Source organism: Homo sapiens, chromosome 8, assembly GCF_000001405.40.
Source record: "Homo sapiens chromosome 8, GRCh38.p14 Primary Assembly".
Taxonomy (NCBI): Eukaryota; Metazoa; Chordata; class Mammalia; order Primates; family Hominidae; genus Homo; species Homo sapiens.
In genome coordinates, this window is record NC_000008.11 from 132,832,166 (window position 1) to 132,851,776 (window position 19,611).

The 19,611-nt window shown below is 35.9% G+C and overlaps 1 protein-coding gene across 24 annotated transcripts in view, besides 1 other annotated feature; it reads left to right on the top strand.

Annotated features, from left to right (window-relative positions):
* Nucleotides 1-16,642, top strand: part of PHF20L1 (PHD finger protein 20 like 1) — a 73,420-nt gene extending 56,778 nt beyond the window's left edge. For 13 of the 24 annotated variants that reach the window (XM_011517075.1, XM_011517077.1, XM_011517078.1 and 10 more), the window contains 7 exons: nt 70-234; nt 4,375-4,556; nt 5,547-5,646; nt 7,222-7,417; nt 10,350-10,710; nt 11,988-12,153; nt 13,616-16,642. In XM_011517075.1, the coding sequence (XP_011515377.1) occupies nt 70-234; nt 4,375-4,556; nt 5,547-5,646; nt 7,222-7,417; nt 10,350-10,710; nt 11,988-12,153; nt 13,616-13,758 (1,313 nt within the window). In that variant the 3' untranslated portion in view covers nt 13,759-16,642. The remainder of the gene's footprint in view (nt 1-69; nt 235-4,374; nt 4,557-5,546; nt 5,647-7,221; nt 7,418-10,349; nt 10,711-11,987; nt 12,154-13,615) is intronic. The other 11 variants (XM_047421819.1, NM_016018.5, XM_047421823.1 and 8 more) reach the window with 2 other exon arrangements.
* Nucleotides 10,976-11,115: a silencer, noted in NCBI's record as "silent region_19559". NCBI's record gives its function as "represses an Ori minimal core promoter by ATAC-STARR-seq in GM12878 lymphoblastoid cells {active_cell/tissue: GM12878}" and the evidence as "EXISTENCE:reporter gene assay evidence [ECO:0000049][PMID:35858748]".
* Nucleotides 16,643-19,611: the final 2,969 nt, after the last annotated feature.

Here is a 19,611-nt window from a genome sequence, read left to right on the forward strand (position 1 = left end):
CGTTATTTTTATAGTGACCTTAATTATCTGACACTTTATTAATATTTCTTTCTGTATCTTATGTTGCAGACTATTCAGACTATGAAGACAGTTCCCTCGAATTTTTGGAAAGGTGCTCTTCTCCACTAACTCGATCTTCTGGGAGTTCTCTGGCTTCACGAAGCATGTTTACGGAGAAAACTACAACCTATCAGTACCCAAGGGCAATTCTATCCGTTGATCTTAGTGGTGAAAGTATGTGTAACCATGTGATGGTTAAAACAAGACTTACAATTCCTAAATGTGTAACTGAGAATAAAACGTACTCTGTTAAGAGCATGCGATTTAAAAACTTGTTAGCTAAACTAATATGAAAGTCTTGATGTGAGAAATTTGAGCTACTTTTTAATTTATATAAAGTTAAATTGGCTTTATACTTATTGGTGGAAGAGAGTCATAAGGAAAATATTACTAGTGTATATACTTCTGTAGGTTTTTGCACATATATTTTTATATTCTTCACTATCAACTGACAGAGTAGGTATTATTCACATTTGATATATAAACAAGCCGAAACTTACAGGGTAAGTAGCTTTTCGGCTTAGCTAGTGTTAGAATTAAAACTCTAACCAAGGTCTGTCTTAACTCCGTAGATAATGCTTTCTTAAATAAACATTTATGGTAATCTTAAAAGTATACTTTGAATTCCTGGTCAGATACATCTGTAACCAAAGTCCTGAGATGTAGTCAGACAACTGATTTAAACACAGGCAGGAACTAAGCGCCCTTAGGTAGTCAGAAGGCCACGTCAGCAGTGAAGGGAGCACTGGAGTTCAAATCTGTTAGACTTTCCTGCAGGTCCAGTCCTGACAGTGGAAAGTGTTGAAGACTCTTACCTTGCTTCCAATATTGTAAGCAATAGGCACAGAGATCCCAGCTGTAGACATTGAGGGCTGTGGCATAAGAGTAGAGCTCTAATGCAATAGCAACCAGAGTCAGAGAGTGAGGAATAAGGGACGGGGCCTTCAGCATAAGTACAACCTAGGATCCTTGTGAGTGAGCTCACTTCCTCCCTTTTTCTTTCTTCTGACTGACCTCGATGGTGGATACTAGGTTAAATGTTTGCTTTTGCACCGTTTGCTTCCAGGTCTAAGTCCTCCCTGGCTCGTTATGGAGAAAGCATTTTCTTTCCTTTATAGCTCATGACACTTGTGAGATTTTATTTTTAGAACCTTGAGGTATGGGAGGGGATTAAAAAAGAAGTTACCACCACCCTTTTCCAGCAAATACAAGTCTACTTTTTCCCATGGTTCAGTGGTTCTTCACCCCCGGTGAACCTTACAATCATTGCTGCGGTTCTTCTAAACTATACTGATCATGGATCCTACCATGAGGCACAATTGAATGAGATTTCTGGAAGGATCCTGGCAAGATACAACTTCTAGGTGATGCTATGGAGAAGCAGAGGTTGATAATCACATTAAGAACATCCTTACTGTGAATCATCAAGATCTGAAGATTATCTCTTGCTATAGAAAGATGGAGAATAGGGGTTATATCTAGGCTAGTTGTGGTGCTGAAACAAGAACCCTTGAAAGAGCATGAAAAGAGCCATAGATGTGTACTCTCTGTTCTTAGTCTCTGCCCTGCCCTTATGATCAAGTACTAAGTCAGGAGAAAGAAAAGGAAAATTAATAAGGCCTTAGGCCAGAAATTCTCAATGTTAGCATGTGTCAGAACTGCCCAGAGAGTGTGTTAAAACACATTTCTGGGCCTCACCCTCAGAATTTCTGAGTTCCAGCAAGTTCCCCGGTGATGATAAATGTTGCTGATCAGGAAACCACACTTGCAAAATGCTGTCTCAGGAAATAGCAATGACAATTTAAGGGGTAGTTGCTGGAAGGCAACAGCTGTTCTTGTGGCCACTCAGTTGGAGCCATTGTCTAGGTGGCTATTCAAGCGTAAGGGGGAACTTTTATTTGCTTCTTACATAACTTTCAGCTCTGTCATCCATTTTACTCAACTTCCAAAACTCAGCTAAGCATAAGTTTAATGCTTGGGAGTTATTCAAACTAGATTTGTGGAGAATATGATAAATTTGCTTGCTAACACCATAAAACTGGTAATCTTTGCCATGCAAGTATATGTGAGATACACTAATTCCTTTCAATGATATAATTTCAAATTAATTTTTATTTATTTATTTATTGAGGCAAGATCTTGCTCTGTTGCCTAGGCTGAAATACTGGTGTGATCGTAGTTCATTGCAGCCTCAAACTCCTTGGCTCAAGCAATCCTCTTGCCTCAGCCTCCTGAGTAGCTAAGACTACCAGCACAGGTCATCATGCCTAGCAAATTATTTTTGCTTTTGTAGAGATGAGGGCTTGCTTTGTTGTACAGGCTGGTTTCAAACTCCTAACTTAAAGTGATCCTCTCACCACGGCCTCCCAAAGTGCTGGGACTAGAGGTGTGAGCCGCTGTGCCCGGCCCATTTAATACTGTTTATATGCTGCAACAGTGTTTGAAACTGTTTTACCCACATTCCAATGAACTTGAGAAAGCCCAAAAGAAAATTTGGATTTAAGCCAGCAAGATTATGGATGGGTGAAATTTTCCTCTTTAGGTTCTTTTAAAACAAGTTATACTGTTCATACTAGATTTTCCATATCTAGTTGATTTACTAGCTCCATGAATATTTTCAGATATTTCTTTATTATCTATTTCTGCTGACCTTCCTTCCGTATGTCCCTGTGACTTCAAAGAGAAGAAAACTTTATTTTTCTATAAAACATTAATCAACAACAAAACATTCAAAAACATTGAATGAAGAAAAAAGTAAGCAAGATTAGAAGCTGATAGAGGAAACACTAAATCATGTGAAAAATGTAGAGTATAAATAGCGTGAATTTTTAAAGTTCAAATCTGTTCAACTTCGGTCCCATCTGATTAAGTCTGAAAAGAAAATATTCTCTCTCTGACTCTCTCCTTAGTTCTTCTACAAACATTCTGGAGTGGCTATATTATATATCAGGCCTCATTCTAATAACTGGGGATGTAGCATTCAACAATGCAAAGTTCTTGCTGTCATGGATTCTGATATTCTAGTAAGAGAAGACAGATGATAAGCAAGTGAAGAGATAACTCAGAATGTGGCTAGGGGATAGGATGTGAGGTAGGAAGGTGCTCTGCTGATTAGCCTCTGTCAGGAGCTCACACAGCATTATACGATGTTCTGTTTCTCATGATGACTCAGTTTTCCTAACATTTCTCCATCCAAACTACTGCAAAAATTTTAGTGTTCCATCATCATTTACTTTCCATTGTTATAAATAAAGATTCCCCCGTGTCTGTCTCAATTTTCTTTTCCTCAGTAACCTGAGCAAAATGGTAGGCTTTGGCATTGTCACTATTATACACACACGCCTAAAACCTGACATGTAAATTGAGTTGTATGTAGTAGTCATCCATATAGTCTTGTTTCTAGGATATGCTTAATCTAAAAATATATTTTTACCAAGACGAAATTAATACATTTTAAAAATCCCTTGGGGAACTCACGGTTCCGGTTTTAAGAAATACTGGTAAAGTCATTAAGAACACAGGCTTGAGAATCAGGCATTCCTGGTATTCAGTTGGTTTTCCCACTCCATGGCTGCGTTTCTCAAGCAAGTTATATATCCTGTGTTTAAAGTGCTTAATATAGCACTGTGTGCTTACTAAGTGCTATAGTAGTTGATGCTGCTGATACTGTCAATAATGCTATTGTTGATTTTAGACCCTAGGCAAGCTCCTTTACCTCTCTGAAGTTGTTTATAGTATGAATAATAAAACCCGTCCTCTTTACAATTCAGAGTTTTTTTTTTTAAGTGATTTTTCAAAAAGCACTTTATTAATCCAAAAAAGAAAGAAGAAAAAGAATGAAGAATCAGTGGTGTGCTAGAGCCAGCTTGTGCTGGCTAATGGGGGCTTACTACACACACCTGTCCCCAGGTCCACGGACAGTGGTGTCACACTGATACTATGAAATCACAAGGGGACAACACAGGGTTTTTATGAGGGTCAGAAGGGATAATGTTTGTGAAAGTGTATGGAAACTGTGCAAATTTATTGACATCAGCCTTAGCCATAAATTCTGTAAGCATGAAGTCTAAAAGACACTTTGAGTTACTTATAATAGTGTATACTATAAGATATAAAGCAGTCATAATTACCTAAGCTTCAAAAATCTTTTGTTTCCATGTCCAGAGACAAGTACAGTACAGTATTCTTATTTGTTTGCTCCCCCTTTTTAAAATGTTTAATAGCTTATGTTCACTTCTCATAGCTCCTTTCTTTATGAAAAATAACATGAAAATAGAAAAGTTGTTCTAAGTATACTTTTTGTATATATTCTAGACTTATCAGATGTAGACTTCCTAGATGATTCTTCAACGGAGAGTTTGCTTCTGAGTGGGGATGAATACAATCAGGACTTTGATTCAACCAATTTTGAGGAATCTCAGGATGAGGATGATGCTCTTAATGAAATTGTGCGATGTATTTGTGAGATGGATGAGGAGAATGGCTTCATGATCCAGGTAATTGGTTAACCTCTCTTCCCTATAATGAGTTAGTTGTTTCAGGTGCTCAGCAAATGCATCACGGTGTTTTATTTCTTTACTGACTGTACTACTGAAGATAGTGGTTTCTAACTTACTGTGTGGAAAATACCCATAGTAATGATTAGGAGATTTCCTCATTAAGTAAAGTAGACAATGTTCTTATTTTAGCATCTCTCTTCCTTTTCTAGGGTATGTAGTTCAGTGCCTTCAAACTGAAACTCTTTAGAGTGATTAGGGTGGTAAACCCTCACACGAAAGGGCAGGCTACAGCAACCTTTCTCTTCCTCATCTGCATTCATGTGAATTATTATAATAATAATTTATAGTCACCCTTCACTTGTCAGTGATTAAAACATAAAAATGTCCAGTATTCTTAAAGGAAAAATTTTGTTGCAGGAGTTAACAACTTCTTCTTGTAGGAAAGATATCTTTAAGATAAAAGGAAAGCATAACCCAAATTTTGTGATGCCAGAAGATTTGGAGATGTTAGTTGAGAGCATGAAGAAAGAGTAATCTTTTTTCCTCCCATTTTTCTGTGGTTTTATGGAGGGAACTATGAATTTATAACTTCACCACAGAAGTAGTACTTTAAGAGATCATTGGTATAGACACTGCTACCAACTTTTTTTTCCCCTAATTTCCGCATTTTAATAAACTATTTTAAGAGTTTTATGATATGATTGCCTAAATATCAGTGAGAATTAAATTAGAGAAATTATGACTTAAGTACTTGATCAAAGCATATTCTAATAGGTGCAACAAAAGAAAGTTCGTGAAGTAGTTGACCATTTCAAAGATAAAATTCATCTTAAGTCATGGCTTGATTTTGTTGTGTCAAATAAGTATGAAACTGATAGTGGCAGTAAGAAGCCAAGCCAGCCAATTCAAAGAAAGGGCATGTATCCTTATTCCTAGCTTATTCCTAGTGAGGATCGGGTGACTGTAATACTCCTCTGTTTTCTGCAGTGTGAAGAGTGCTTGTGTTGGCAACACAGCGTGTGCATGGGGCTGCTGGAGGAGAGCATTCCAGAGCAGTACATCTGCTATATCTGCCGGGACCCACCAGGTAAGGCTTTCTGTGCCGTGCTGATTGCCAGGATGCCTCTATGTCTCCTCCAGGATTCCAGAGTGTATCAGCTGTGTTCACCACCACTACAGCAAGTTCTCACATGATGTCATTGATAGGTTCTTGGAAACTGTGACTCCAAATGAAACAGCATGCTATATGCCATAGGAACTTAACTTGTATGTATCAATTAGCTTATAGTACAATTCATTTCATTATTCAGTGTGCCAGTTTCCAAGAACCTATTGATTACCCTTAGTGAGGACTCACTGTACTTCTTGGTCAATTAGACTCAACTTCCGTATTAAAATTTTAAAATATTTTTTCACTGTTACATTTTTATTTTCCACATTGATTACTTAGACAAATACATTAGCATATATTTATCAACAAAATTACTATCCTACTGGAAGGGAAGAGGTGTGACTTTTTCCTGGAGAAGAATTAATTAGCCTCTGTTCCTCTGTATCCATTTCTAGCTAGGCTTATTTGTGGCAATCGGAGTAGATCTGCATTATGAACTTGCATGCTACTGACCTGGCAGTTCTGCATATTCGACTCATTGTAGAGCAGGTGGGGTCTTAGAACACTACCTGTGATGCCTTTATTTTACTGATGAGGCAGACTGAGATGAAATCTATGCCTTTTGACTCTCAATCCACCATGCTGTCTACTTGGTGCCTTCTTCTATGCTAGAGGATCTTCAGATAGCATATTCTGCATATTGAATTTAACTTCAGCCTCCAGGCAGGAAATAACTAGGTTTTCTCAAATAATAGGCATGTGGTGAATTGGTCCCATGACTATTGGAAAAAAAGAAAAAAGTCACAATAAGTCACAAAAAAGTCACAGTAAGAAGCAAGAGAATTAATTATTCACAGCCATATGAATGTAGACATTTGTTCATTCACCAACATTTATAGTGTTCATTATTCATTGTATTTATTCAATAACAAATGTAGACATTTGTTATTTATTCAGAAGCATTTACTGGATGGCTTCTATTTGCCACTGTGGTGAGATGATTGATTTAAACCATGCCTTCAACTGGCTAGTAGTATAGTATGGGACACAGGCAATAAACACCTGGTTGTAATAGGATCTAATTTATATTAACATGAAGGATATGGAATTTCATAGGATTCTGTGAAATCACAGACATGGGGGAAGGGTTCCTATTCACTCAGCTAGAACTCTATGGTTCATCCAGTTCAAAACAAAGGTTAGTGAGAGAAATAACCCCTGTCTAGTTTTTATCCAGCCCTTTGAGCCTTTTTAGAGGACAGATGATGACTACAAAACATTGAAAGCAGTACACTCAAGGTTCCCTTTGCAAGTGTCATCTGCCACTGACCATGTCCTTAATGGTGTTTCTTCTCCTGGGTGGGCAGGAACGCTGAAGGTGTGGAGGAGCTCTTCCTGCACCAGTTCCTCAGAACGCTGTCTTACTCTTTTTGAATCTGCTCCTAGTGCTAGAGCTTGCCTTGCTTAATGAGCAACGTTAGTAGGTTAGCAGTTGATGAAAAATCCGAGTAAGTGCAGTCCTCTGTGATTTAATATCAACTTCATCTGCAGGTCAGAGGTGGAGTGCAAAATATCGTTATGATAAGGAGTGGTTGAATAATGGGAGAATGTGCGGGTTATCATTTTTCAAAGAAAATTATTCTCATCTCAATGCCAAAAAGATAGTTTCTACACATCACCTGCTTGCTGATGTCTATGGTGTTACAGAAGTGCTACACGGGCTACAGCTGAAGATTGGAATACTAAAGTAAGTGAAGGGCAGCAAAGGGAGGGTCACACTTCAGTGGACGTTTTAATTCAAACCAACACTGTTGGCCTTTTGATGGTCCAGAGTAACAGTTTGGAGGAGAGAACAGGTATTTGAATAAAGTTTCATTTTTAAAAATAAGGAAAGATTAACAACCTTTTGGATGCGTTGGTGCTTCCTGTCTATTCTAGAATGTGTAAGTGTGGTTAAAGGTAGATACGGCATCTAGTATTTCAACACATTTTAGCTCCTGTCCCACTGTTTTGTATGCTTACCGTATGTGCAAAATTAAGTGCAGTTGCTGTGGTGAACCCTATACGTTGTGTCCTCCTTCAGGAATGCTATCAAATGAAATAGATTCTAAGCAGGGTGAGTATTTTTTTTTATAAAGATTGATTTAAAGGTGATGAAGGGAGCCTACAAACCGAATTCACTTCTCTGCTGTGCACCAAATATGTTAGTCATCCCATACAATTTTCTCTTAAACAAGTCTTTAAAGAACGTATCAGAATATTCTTGAAGTCCTTATTTCCAGTCCTTCCTAATGCCTGACTGGAATTCTTCTTTAAAAGAACAAACAAACAAAAACCCACATTTTAGGTAAAAACAGGATGATTCACTGGTTCTTCACAAGATTTTCTTCATTTGGATGCACTTGCCTCGGCCAGACACTTGTCCCATCCTCTCCTTCCCTTCCCATCCTTGTGTCTTTCACATCCTATCCATTGCAATTTGTGGACATTGTTCAGTCTGTTCCTCTCTCACTTCTCACTGGTACTGTCTCAGCCAGGTTGTTACATTTCACATGAACGATTGCCATGCTTGTCCATTCTCTGTGGGTCCAGCCTTGTACTCTATCAGTTCATTCTTTGTACTGCTGCCAGTGTAAGCTTAGTAAAAGATAAATATCAGCTTGTCTTTCTCCAACTTAATGTACTAGAGCATCTTCCTGTTGCCCAATGGACTGAGTCCTTCCATGACACATACTCTGTCTACCATTTTTTGTTGCCACATAATCCCTGTGCTTTTTCCCCCAAACATCCCAGCTATCCCAAACCATAATCCCTAAATGAAGCAAGCTTTTCCATCGCTCTAGGCCTTTACTCACACCCAGGATAAGCTTCTACCACTAGTGCCCCTAGCAGATGCCTTTCATAATTACCTGCCCAACTAGAGTTGACCATGTTCTTCTTGGCAAACTCCACGCATACTTGTGTCAGCCACTTTGGTATGCTTAATTTTTTTATGCTTGTCTCCCCTTACTAAGTCATGGGATCCTTTAAAATAGGGCTTGTGTCCTATTCATCATTTTGTCTCTAATTGATAGTGTAGGGTAAGTACTCAGTAACTATTTGTTGAATAAAATTTGCTTCAGTTTTTTATCATAAGCCTGAATATGAATTTGTTTTTTAAAAGGCCATGTAAGTGCTAAGACTTAAGGGAGGGAATAATTTATTAGGTCTTTTTTTAAAACCTTATTTCCTTCTTGGTATCAGTATGAGTTTCTCTGCATTCATAATTTTGCCAAGGATTTTAATTGGCCCTTTCTGTTTCATATACTTATAGGCCCTCTTTATGTTAATATTTTAAATCATAATATCTGTTAGTATGTACGATTTATTGAAAGTCCTACACGTCATGTGCTTTCATGTGATATTTCATTTAATCCTTATCATAAGCTACCTCATTTCATTGTTGGGTAGTGAAAGAGATTTTGTAACTTGTTCAGGCTTCTCTATGGCACAGCAGAATTCAACCCCTTGGACTATTGGACTGCAGTGCCAGCTTTTCTTCTACTATGCCTTTTACTGATTGAGTGTTTTAGTATTTTCTGAATATTAAACTACTAGGGATTCAAATGATAAAATTTATAATTTCAGAAACAATACTTGAGTATTATTGGAAGAGAACTAATTTGACTCAGTATGTATCTAATTTGGAAATTATTAATATGCAAACATTATTGAGCCTTTTGAAAGGTTTATATCTCCCGAATGCCCTTTCACTTCAGCTCTGATGATTGGATTCCTGTTTTACTTACTGCAGAATTAACTGTACAATATCATGCTTACATGTTCAGTGAGGATGAAGTAAATGGGCATTATCAAAGATTGTTGATGGGGTTGTAATTAGTATAATCCCTTTTGAGGTCACTTGGGTAGTACCTATCAAAATAAATGTGCATGTTATCCAGCAATCCCATATCTAGAAATTTATCTGACTGAAATATTCTGACTTGTGTGCAAAGACACACACAGGTACACAAACATATAATGGTAGGGAATTGGTTGGCTCGACTGGTACATTTGTAACTCTTCAGCCCTAGAGTAAAAGTAAGGGAAATCTATCTGTATGACATGATATGGCAAGATGCCCCTAGCATGTTACGTACAAAAAGGCAGATTGTATGTGTCCTGGATGTGTCACAAGAAGATGTGTATACTTATCCATTTAAGAACTAATTTTAGGTATACAGAAAAAGTCTGGAAGATTATACCTCAGTTATTTATGTTTGCCATGGGAGAGGAAATTTTTACTTTCTGTGCATTTATATTTAGGATTTTTGTCATCAGGAGTTATCACTTTTTGACTGAATAAAAGTTTTTAAAATATGCTCACATTAAAGTTTTTCAAATTTTACAATGAAAATGACAATGACAAATCAGTAGAAAAAGAAATGCATGTATCAAATGATGATGTGAACTATCAACACAATTAAATTTGTTATTGCTTTTCTGAGTATTATTTCTTTAATTGAGAAGATTCAAATTTTGGATGAAATCATGGAGGGAGTTAATTTAAAGATTACCTTTGCTTTTGTCTTGAGTCCTAGATGTCCTCCTAACCTAATTCTGAAATAGATCATTGTATTCAGCTTGTTAATAGATTTTTTTTTTTTTCTGAACTGCTGTTTTTCCAACTTTGTTTTAAGGAATAAACATCATCCTGACCTTCATCTCTGGGCTTGTTCCGGGAAGCGAAAAGACCAAGATCAAATAATAGCTGGGGTGGAGAAAAAAATAGCTCAAGACACAGTTAATCGAGAAGAAAAGAAATATGTACAGAACCATAAAGAACCACCTCGTTTGCCCCTAAAAATGGAAGGAACTTATATAACAAGTGAGCATAGCTATCAAAAGCCACAAAGTTTTGGTCAGGACTGTAAATCTCTCGCAGACCCTGGGAGCTCAGATGATGATGATGTTAGTAGTTTGGAAGAAGAACAAGAATTCCACATGAGAAGTAAAAACAGTTTACAGTACTCAGCAAAAGAACATGGAATGCCTGAAAAGGTAAAACTAGTTCATTTTTCTTTGCTTGGAAACTATGAGAGAAGAACAAAGGAAAATTTTATAAAATAAGGCATACTGAATTCCCAGATTTTAGTTGTATTTCCAAGTTCCCCAGTACCTTGTTAAAGTAAGGAGATTTTTTTGTTTTCTCTACAGGAAAACACTGGCCATTTGAACATTTGATTATCTCCTAATTCAGAATTGTAGTAATTCAATAAACTGTTACTCTAACAAAAGTTTCAATTGTATAAGTACATTTCGATGCTTCTAAAAAATGAACCACATTGTATTCAAAACGAAAATGTCAGTGTGTAAGAATGTGAAAGTACATATGGGTGTAATGATTTGTCTTCCTCTTTATGTGAGTTAGATAAAAGGTGGCACTCTAATTGTCTGTTTAAAAAATTTTAGCATGTTTGTCAATGCATCCCACTATTCAGTAAGGTGAATTCTGACAGATCTATGTGCATTGGACATCTATAAACTTATTTCCTGTTCACTGGGATTATCTTAGAAATGTACCTTTATTTTTTACTGATTTTCAATTAATGAGGCCACTTTAAAATTAGATGTTTTTTTTCTGCATTCCTTAACAAGTAATTACCATAAATAAGTACTTAAGTGAATTGGAACGTTTGTATTTCGTATCATAAAGTTTGTGGTAAGTTATTTTGTTTAATTAATATCCCATGTGCAAAATGAGTTATCTCTGGCAAATCCAAACGCACATTGTGTGTGTGTGTGTGTGTGTGTGTGTGTGTGTGAAGCAGTTTGTACTTTTGAAACTTGTAAAAGGTTTTTGCCTTTCCCTCCCTTCATTGATTTACTGTACTATAACAGTAAAGTCCAGTCTGTAGTTAATTAGATTTTATACTGGTCTTTGGAAACGCTCTTGATTTCTTTTCATCATTGCTTTCCACTCTTATGTCCACTTATATCACCAGCTGAGATTAATTGAGGAAGAGGCCAGTCTAAATTAATCAGGAATTCTAATTACACAATAGAATTAGTGACTTCATTTATTTAGCGCATTTTATTGAAGCCTTCTTGCCTGTGTAGCACCATGCGAGGCATAGTGGAGGGAGGTGGTGGGTGCATCAGCTCTTAAGAACCACCAGCTGGAATTTGGTTATGTAGCAGTACTTCTTTAAAGATACCCCTGGAGTCAGATTGGATCTCACTAACTGTTACCAGTGATGAGGTGTTTCCTGTATCCTTAACTCAATGACTGCATTTCATCCCGTTCTTTGTGTTTATTTTCCAATGGTCCTTTGGAGAAGAATCCAGCTGAAGGGAATACAGTATTTGTTTATAATGATAAAAAGGGCACCGAAGACCCAGGAGACTCACATCTTCAGTGGCAGCTCAATCTCCTTACACACATAGAAAATGTGCAGAACGAAGTTACCAGCAGGATGGACCTAATAGAAAAAGAAGTCGATGGTAATTTAAGAAAGAACTAAAATACAGTTACTATAGTGAATTTATTGTTACTATGAAGAAGTTACTTAAAATTCTTAAATTATGGGATGAAAACTGCAGATACTCTCCATACCGATGGGGCTTTATTACTCCCTTTGTATTGTATTTAACACATTTGGGATCTTTTACGCTTAAAACAATGTGACCGGGTATGACCTTAGGTTGTTTTTACTTTTTTAAGGTGGATATTTATTAAATACTGTCTATTTGCCAGGCTCCAGATAGATCACTTATGGAATAAATTGATTAGTTTCATTGAACTAAGCTTTCTTTGGAAGTCAACATAAGGAATTTAAGCATGTTTGAAATGTGAAAACATTTTGAATATTTTTTACTTTGGTTAGCACTTGTTAAATTAACAAAAACTTCTACAAAGTTAAGTAGGTAAACCTTAAGTGGTTTTCTTTTATATTTTAAAATTGTGTCATCACACAGGAGGCCTGAAAAGTGGGCAAGAAAGATACTATCACTACTTTATAGTTGAGAAACTAGAGTAACTTAGACTACCTGATTCTCAGTCCATGTTGTTCTTAATGCTTTCTGACTCCTGTTTCTTCCTAACATCATAGACGATATTCTGCACCCCAACTTTACTTTTTTTAATTTGGCATAAGCACGTGATACCTCTCCTCTACACTAAGTTAGAGCTCCTACTCCTTTTTTTCCCCCTTGAGAGAAGAAGAGAGAAAATGGAAACCCATTTTAGAAGCCTCTTCCATCTGGGTATAAGCTAACTGTAGAGTTAATGTGATGTTTTGAGTCCATGTTTGAAGAAAAGAAAATGCATCTTGATACTATTTCATATTATTAGGGTAGATTTCCAAAGGAAACATTAATAAAAACTATAGAATATAATCAATTGCATTCTGCCTACAATTTTAATACGCTTGCATGTCTTTTAAAAAGTAGTGTTAAAATAGTGGAACTGAAAAGAACACTGAGAAATTGCTACTTCCTTTTCTTTGTTAAGAAGAGCTTCTGGATTAAAAAATATGATTAGGTATGTTTTATGTAGAGATGACGAGTCTAAATTAATAGAAAGCTTGAGCAAACATAGGGAACTGTTGTTATCTTATTCCAGAAGTGAGTAAAAGGAGACCTTCAAAATGAAGTTAGTGTGTGTATATGTTTATGTGTGTGTGTATATGTATTTTCCCCCTTATATATAAAAATACATAATTCCTATATATATAAAGGGGAAAATTATCTTAAATGACAGATAAAAATTGCCAAGAGGGACTAGAACTCTGTGGGGTGGGATGACAGGACGCTAACCTCTCGGAAATGTCTTGAGTATGTTGGCCTTCTAAAGATGGGGAAGTGAACCCTTAACTCCATCACAGCTCCAACTTTCTGATTGTTTCATTTTCTGACTGTTCTTCCAGTTGCAGTTTAAATTTGTTTATCTTCTTCTCTCTTTTAGTTCTGGAAAGCTGGCTTGATTTCACAGGGGAGTTGGAGCCACCAGATCCTCTTGCAAGATTGCCCCAACTTAAACGCCACATAAAACAGCTCCTAATTGACATGGGCAAAGTACAGCAGATAGCAACTCTTTGCTCTGTATGACAACAGTGAACACTTAATGAAAGAATGTGGCTTTCTTCAGTCAAAGCATTTTTATTATCCACGTGATGGCTAAGTGGATAATTTAAAAGCTTAGTAATGTCTGGTCATTCACTGATTTGTGATGTCAATAGGATGGCACCTTGGAAAGAAAAATGAAGAACAACTTTATCAAGGAAGCTAGTATTTAAAAACAAATTCATGAGCAAGCTGCAAATGAGAATGTGTTATATGCCAAGGAACAATGAAGTAGAATATAATGTATACTAAGGGATTTCAAGTTCTCAGAATTTTTGAGTAGTTGCTTACGTGAAGCTCAAGATACCTGTAGAAAGAAATATGGTATATTTGTATAGTTTTTAATAGAAAGATCTATGTTTATAAACCAGCACTTGGCCAAAAACAAAATTGTAAAGGAAATTTAAATTCTGGAGAATTCTACAGGGTTGCTCTAAGAACTGTCTTCTCAGCAGTTGATCCAGCTGTACGGAAATTTAGGGTATTTAAACTTTTAAAGGATCATGAGCTGTTTCTTGGGCGATGAATGTTCTCAATCAGAAAACTGACAGTAGAAATCTCACTTCTGGGGAAAACAGTTGTGGAATTCTTACTTCATTATGAATGTATTTAAAAAACAAACACCAAATAATTGGAATATATTGCAGGCATTAAGCTCATTAAAAACAAACTGGCTTGCAGAAGGGTCCGATGTGCCAAGTGATCATGATTCTGCTGGAAAGAGGATTTTAAATATTGTGGGAGTTCTCCCACCCTAAGTCTTACATAATGCCACCAGTCCATCCAAAACCTATATATCACCTATACTATATATATCATATATATAGTTGAATGGCAGTATTCAGGCTCAACGTACAGTTTGATCCTGAGTATGCTTGGTGTTTGCCTTCAGAAAAAAAAAAATACATTGTAAATAACCTCAGCTGGGATGAGGAGTGACAGAATATCAAAATAATTTGTGGCTGTGGATTTTTTTAACTGCTAGTAGTGGAATACTGGAAAAGCTTCATTTCTGAAGATGAATTTTATTTTTAAAAAATACATGCACACTCAAAACTTTTAGCTTTGATCACAAGTGGACAAATTTCTGAAACCAAAGGCAACTAAGTTGCTGTGTTAGCTCTTGCTGGATTTTGAGCCTAGGTCCTACTGTCTGCCAGTACTCATGTGAGTTGTATGTGCCCCCAGTGCTACATACGCAGGTATGCGTAAGTGTGTATGCTTGTTTTAAACAAACACTCAACGTACATATGTACATAATCTACACATATTTATATCACATATCTAGTTTTATTACTATAGACTATACGAATTGGTGGTTAACATGAAATGTTACCTTTTAACAGACTGTTTTTAAAAATTAAAAATGTATGTATAGGTTTTGAAATTTTTTTAAAAGGGGAGAAAGACTGTTAAGAGGAGGCTATTTGATGACATAACACTTGAATATTTTATGCCTCATTCTGTTTATCAGTTCTCGCAATCTGTATAAATGCATTTTAGAACTGATAGACAGTAAACTTGAATTTATCTTTGATAAGAATACATGCCACTGTACATTCAGATATTATTTAAATTTGCAAACACATTGTTCTATATGTAAGGGTACTGTATGTAAAACTCTGTATTAAAACTATTCCACATATCCTAAAATTTCAGCTTGCCTTTTTGCGGCCTTATATTTTGATGTAAAGATTAAAAGAATGTGCAAAACAGTCAGAAATTTTTATTGCCTTTTGAGATTCTCCAACTTGACAAATGTGCCAAAGATCAACAGACAGAAAATATCATCCTGTGTATTTACTTGTCATACTTTAACTTTGTGAAAGATCTTACTGATAAATGAAAAGCTTTAGCAGAGGTGGTATTGTGGGGTAATTGCTTAAATTTACATATCAAAGTAAAAAAGTAGTGCCTGTATTCCATGTGTGGAGTAAATTTGCTAATGTCTATATTTTATGATTGATACTATTATTTTTCCTTTGCATTTTAAAATAGTGGCTCTAATATTTTCCCTGTCATGGCTACATTCTAGACATTGAATTTATATCTTCTTTTTTTCAGATACGGAGCAAATAGCATCCTTAACCTATGAATAATGGTGTTGCCTAGATTCTTGTCACACACACAGAAGACCCTTTGTACCTAGTAACATTCATCCTCTTGATTCCTGGTGAACACGGTTAAATTCATGCACATTTGTTCTTGTAGTTTCTAAAAATTAGATCAATTTATTTGTTAGCCAGCAAATTGAAAATTCCATTATTAGATTAATGAAATTTTTGCTCTGCTTATATGTATACGAACTGGAAATCTGAATTTTTAAATTTAGATCTTTAAATCAAATTATTTTTATGCATATTTTCATTTAATATAGAGTATACCAATCGATTGAAGCCTTTCACAAGTAGTGCGCTGAGCTTTTCTTATTGAAGAGAGTGAATTAGTTTCTGAGAAGTCAGTCTATTGTGAAAAGTTTCAGATGAGATTATTTTCTTTTAGTCTTTTTAAATATCACTATATGTATTTAAATAGAAGCAATAAACTAGAGAGAGTGTTTCTTGAAAAGACAATGTTTTATTTGCCACCAGGCAGAACAGAATGAGCATTGGTAGAGAAGGCTCCCTCTTGGTATGTTACTGATAAACTTGTACTTCCTCATACTTGTTTGTGGTTCTACTGACTTATTTCCAAACTTAAGAGTAATGTACTTCGAAAACAACTTGGTTATTCTTTAAATTTCAGGTAAAACCCCTTTTCCTAACACTCATCTTATTTCCACTGTCTTATTTCCTCTCAGATGTTCATATTTCACATGTTCAAAATGAAGCGTACTATTTCCCCTCCAATAAACGAAGTCTCCTGCCAACTTCACTGTCTCTGTTAATAACGTTACCCTAAGAGTTCAGGCTTCAAACACCGAGTCCTCCCTCATATCCATATCATTAAAACAGATAATATTGTCTTCTTACTTCTGAATCCTACTGAAGGTCCAACATTTTTTATAAAATAATGTCATGAAGATACTACCACTGGCCTCTGAAACTGTAACTTTGCCTTTATTCTAATTCATCACAATTGTCACTGCCACACTGTTCCATCCATTGCACATGTTCCATGCATTGTACATGTTACCTGCAGTATCTAATTTGTTCATAAAATAAGGTAAAATGATCATTTTCTAGATGAGGCTGAGGGATAGAGACATTTAGAAACTTATCCTGGATAAGACATAAGGGGGCAGGTTCAGGATTCAAATCCTGTGCTATTCAAGTTCATAGTCTTTCCAGCATATGTGCTTCAACTATTCTTGTCATTTCAGTTTTCTGCTCTGGAATGTCTAGTGACTCCCTGTTTCAAACCATGTCAGGTCTTTGTAATCTGGATCTTTTGCAATTTACATAATCCTCAGTTATTTAAATGTAGCCTTACTGTTAAATGGACTACACTTGTTTTCCTCTATTACCTTTGTATTGTTTTCCTCTTCTGGAAAATTCTCCACTGTTTATTGTCCCTCTGTAAACCCAGACAATCCTTCAAACTTCATTTCTCTTCCTATGAGAAGTAATCCATTACTGAAAGCCTTTCATGGTATCCTGCATTGTACCAACATATGGAGGAACTACATCAGTGATTAATAATATAGTGGAACAGGCATGAACTCTGCAGTCTTGGACTCAAATTTTCACTCTGGCAATTTACTAGCAGTGTGATCTTTTGGAACTTCACTATCCTTGTCTGTAAAATGGGAATAATGCCCAGCTTAGAGCCTTGTTTTGAGAATTAAGTAAAGCAAATAAAGTACCTAGAAACTGTTACTAAATAAATAGAAATTTCATTAGACATTAGGGTTGTCCATGTGCCAGCTATTAAGCTTAGAGGCTGGGGATGGATATGGAATTAATAAGATCACAGCCTATAGACTAATGGAAACATAAAAATATTTTTCAACAAGATAGGTGCTATCAGAGAGTACAAGGAGATGAAAGATAATTAGACTTGTAGGTGGAGGGGTTTTTGGGAAATAGATGATGAATGTTAATTAAAACAGTGGTCTTCTCATGTCTTTTGACTGTGAGTGGCCTCTCTAAAGCATTTCACTCCTGGTACACCTGTCTTTGGGTACTCCTGAAAGTAGCGCAAGAGATAAGACTTGACTGTATTTAGTTTATTCAGGAAATGTTCCAAGGAATTGAAATGAGGGAGAAACAAAGGTGTGGGAGGGGAGGGAAAAAGCTAATATGAATATGCATAATTGAAGACACTGCCATGAGCAATGGGGTTTCGATTCTTCCATTTGAAGTTGTTCATAAATTTATTGCAAAGGATGATTTCCAATTTGCAAATATTGACATATTCAAATAAACCAGTTACATTATTTTTAAATGTATACAATAGAATCAGAGTACAGTTTTGTTCCTTACCAACATGTTTTTAAAATACATGAGCAATCTTTAACATTTAGAAATTTTACATATGTTTATATTCTCCCTTCTGCCTTTCCACATTACTTACTAACAGAATATTCTTTTCTGTAATTATAGGTCTTTATCACCCTCTCATACTTTTGTCCACAAAAAATGGTGCATTGCAATTTTAAAAAGCATCAAAATACACACTGCAAACACTAATATCACTGAATAAATAGAAAAATTTACAATTGTAGTTGAACATTGCACCCCTCCTAATTTAGCACTAATTGACAGAACAAGTAGACAAAGTCAAGATATATTAATAGAAGACTTAAGCAAAAGTGATCACCCAAAATGACTTAAAATGGACATTTATGGAACATTCTGTCCAATAACACAAGAACATACATTTTATTTTTAAGTGTACATGGAACACTAAAGATGATAGACTATATACTACGCCATAGAGCAATATGTCTCAATAAAGGTAGATATAAAACAGTCTCAATAAATGTAAAATAACTGAAATCATGCACAATATGCTCTCTGACCACAACTGAATTAAATTGGAAATCAATACCAGGAAGATAATCTGGAAAAGTTCCCAAATGTTAGAGAATTAAACAGTGTACTTTTAAATAACCCATGAGCCCAAGAAAAAAAATGTTACAGGTAAGATTAGAAAATATTTTAAATAGAATGAAAATGAAAACAACATGCTAAAATTTGTGGGATACACCTCAATCGATGTTAGAAATTATAGCTTTGCTTATATTTATAAAAGTACAAAATCACTGATAAAAGATTTCACCTTAGGAAACCAGAAGATAAAGAGCAAATTAAAGCCAAATAAGCATAATAGCAAGGCAATAATAATAGTGCTGGAACCAATGAAATACTAAATGAACAAAATACAGATATAGATAGAAAGCTGGTTCTTGGAACAGAACAAAAATTGACACTCTTGGAGATTGATAAATAATTAGAATGGAGGAGGGGGACATTATTGTGGATCCAACAGTTTTTTAAAACACAGTGAATACATTTCCATAAATTTGAGGCTTAGCTGAAATGGGAAAATCCCTCAAAGGACACAAATTACCAAAAAACAAATGAAGAAGTAGAATTTATAATTAAAAATCTAGGCTGAGCACAGTGACTCATGCCTGTAATCTCAGCAATTTGGGAGGCCAAAACAAAAGGATCACTTGAGCCCAGGGATTCCAGACCAGCCTGGGCAACATAACAACACCCTGTCTCTACAAAAAGTAAAATAATAATAATAAACAATTGCTAGGTGTAGCGGCACCTGCCTGTAGTCCTAGCTACTCAAGAGGCTGAGGTGGGAGGATTGCTTTGAGCCCAGGTGGTTGAGGCTGCAGTGAGTGGTGATTGTGCCACTGCACTCCAGCCTGGGTGACAGGTC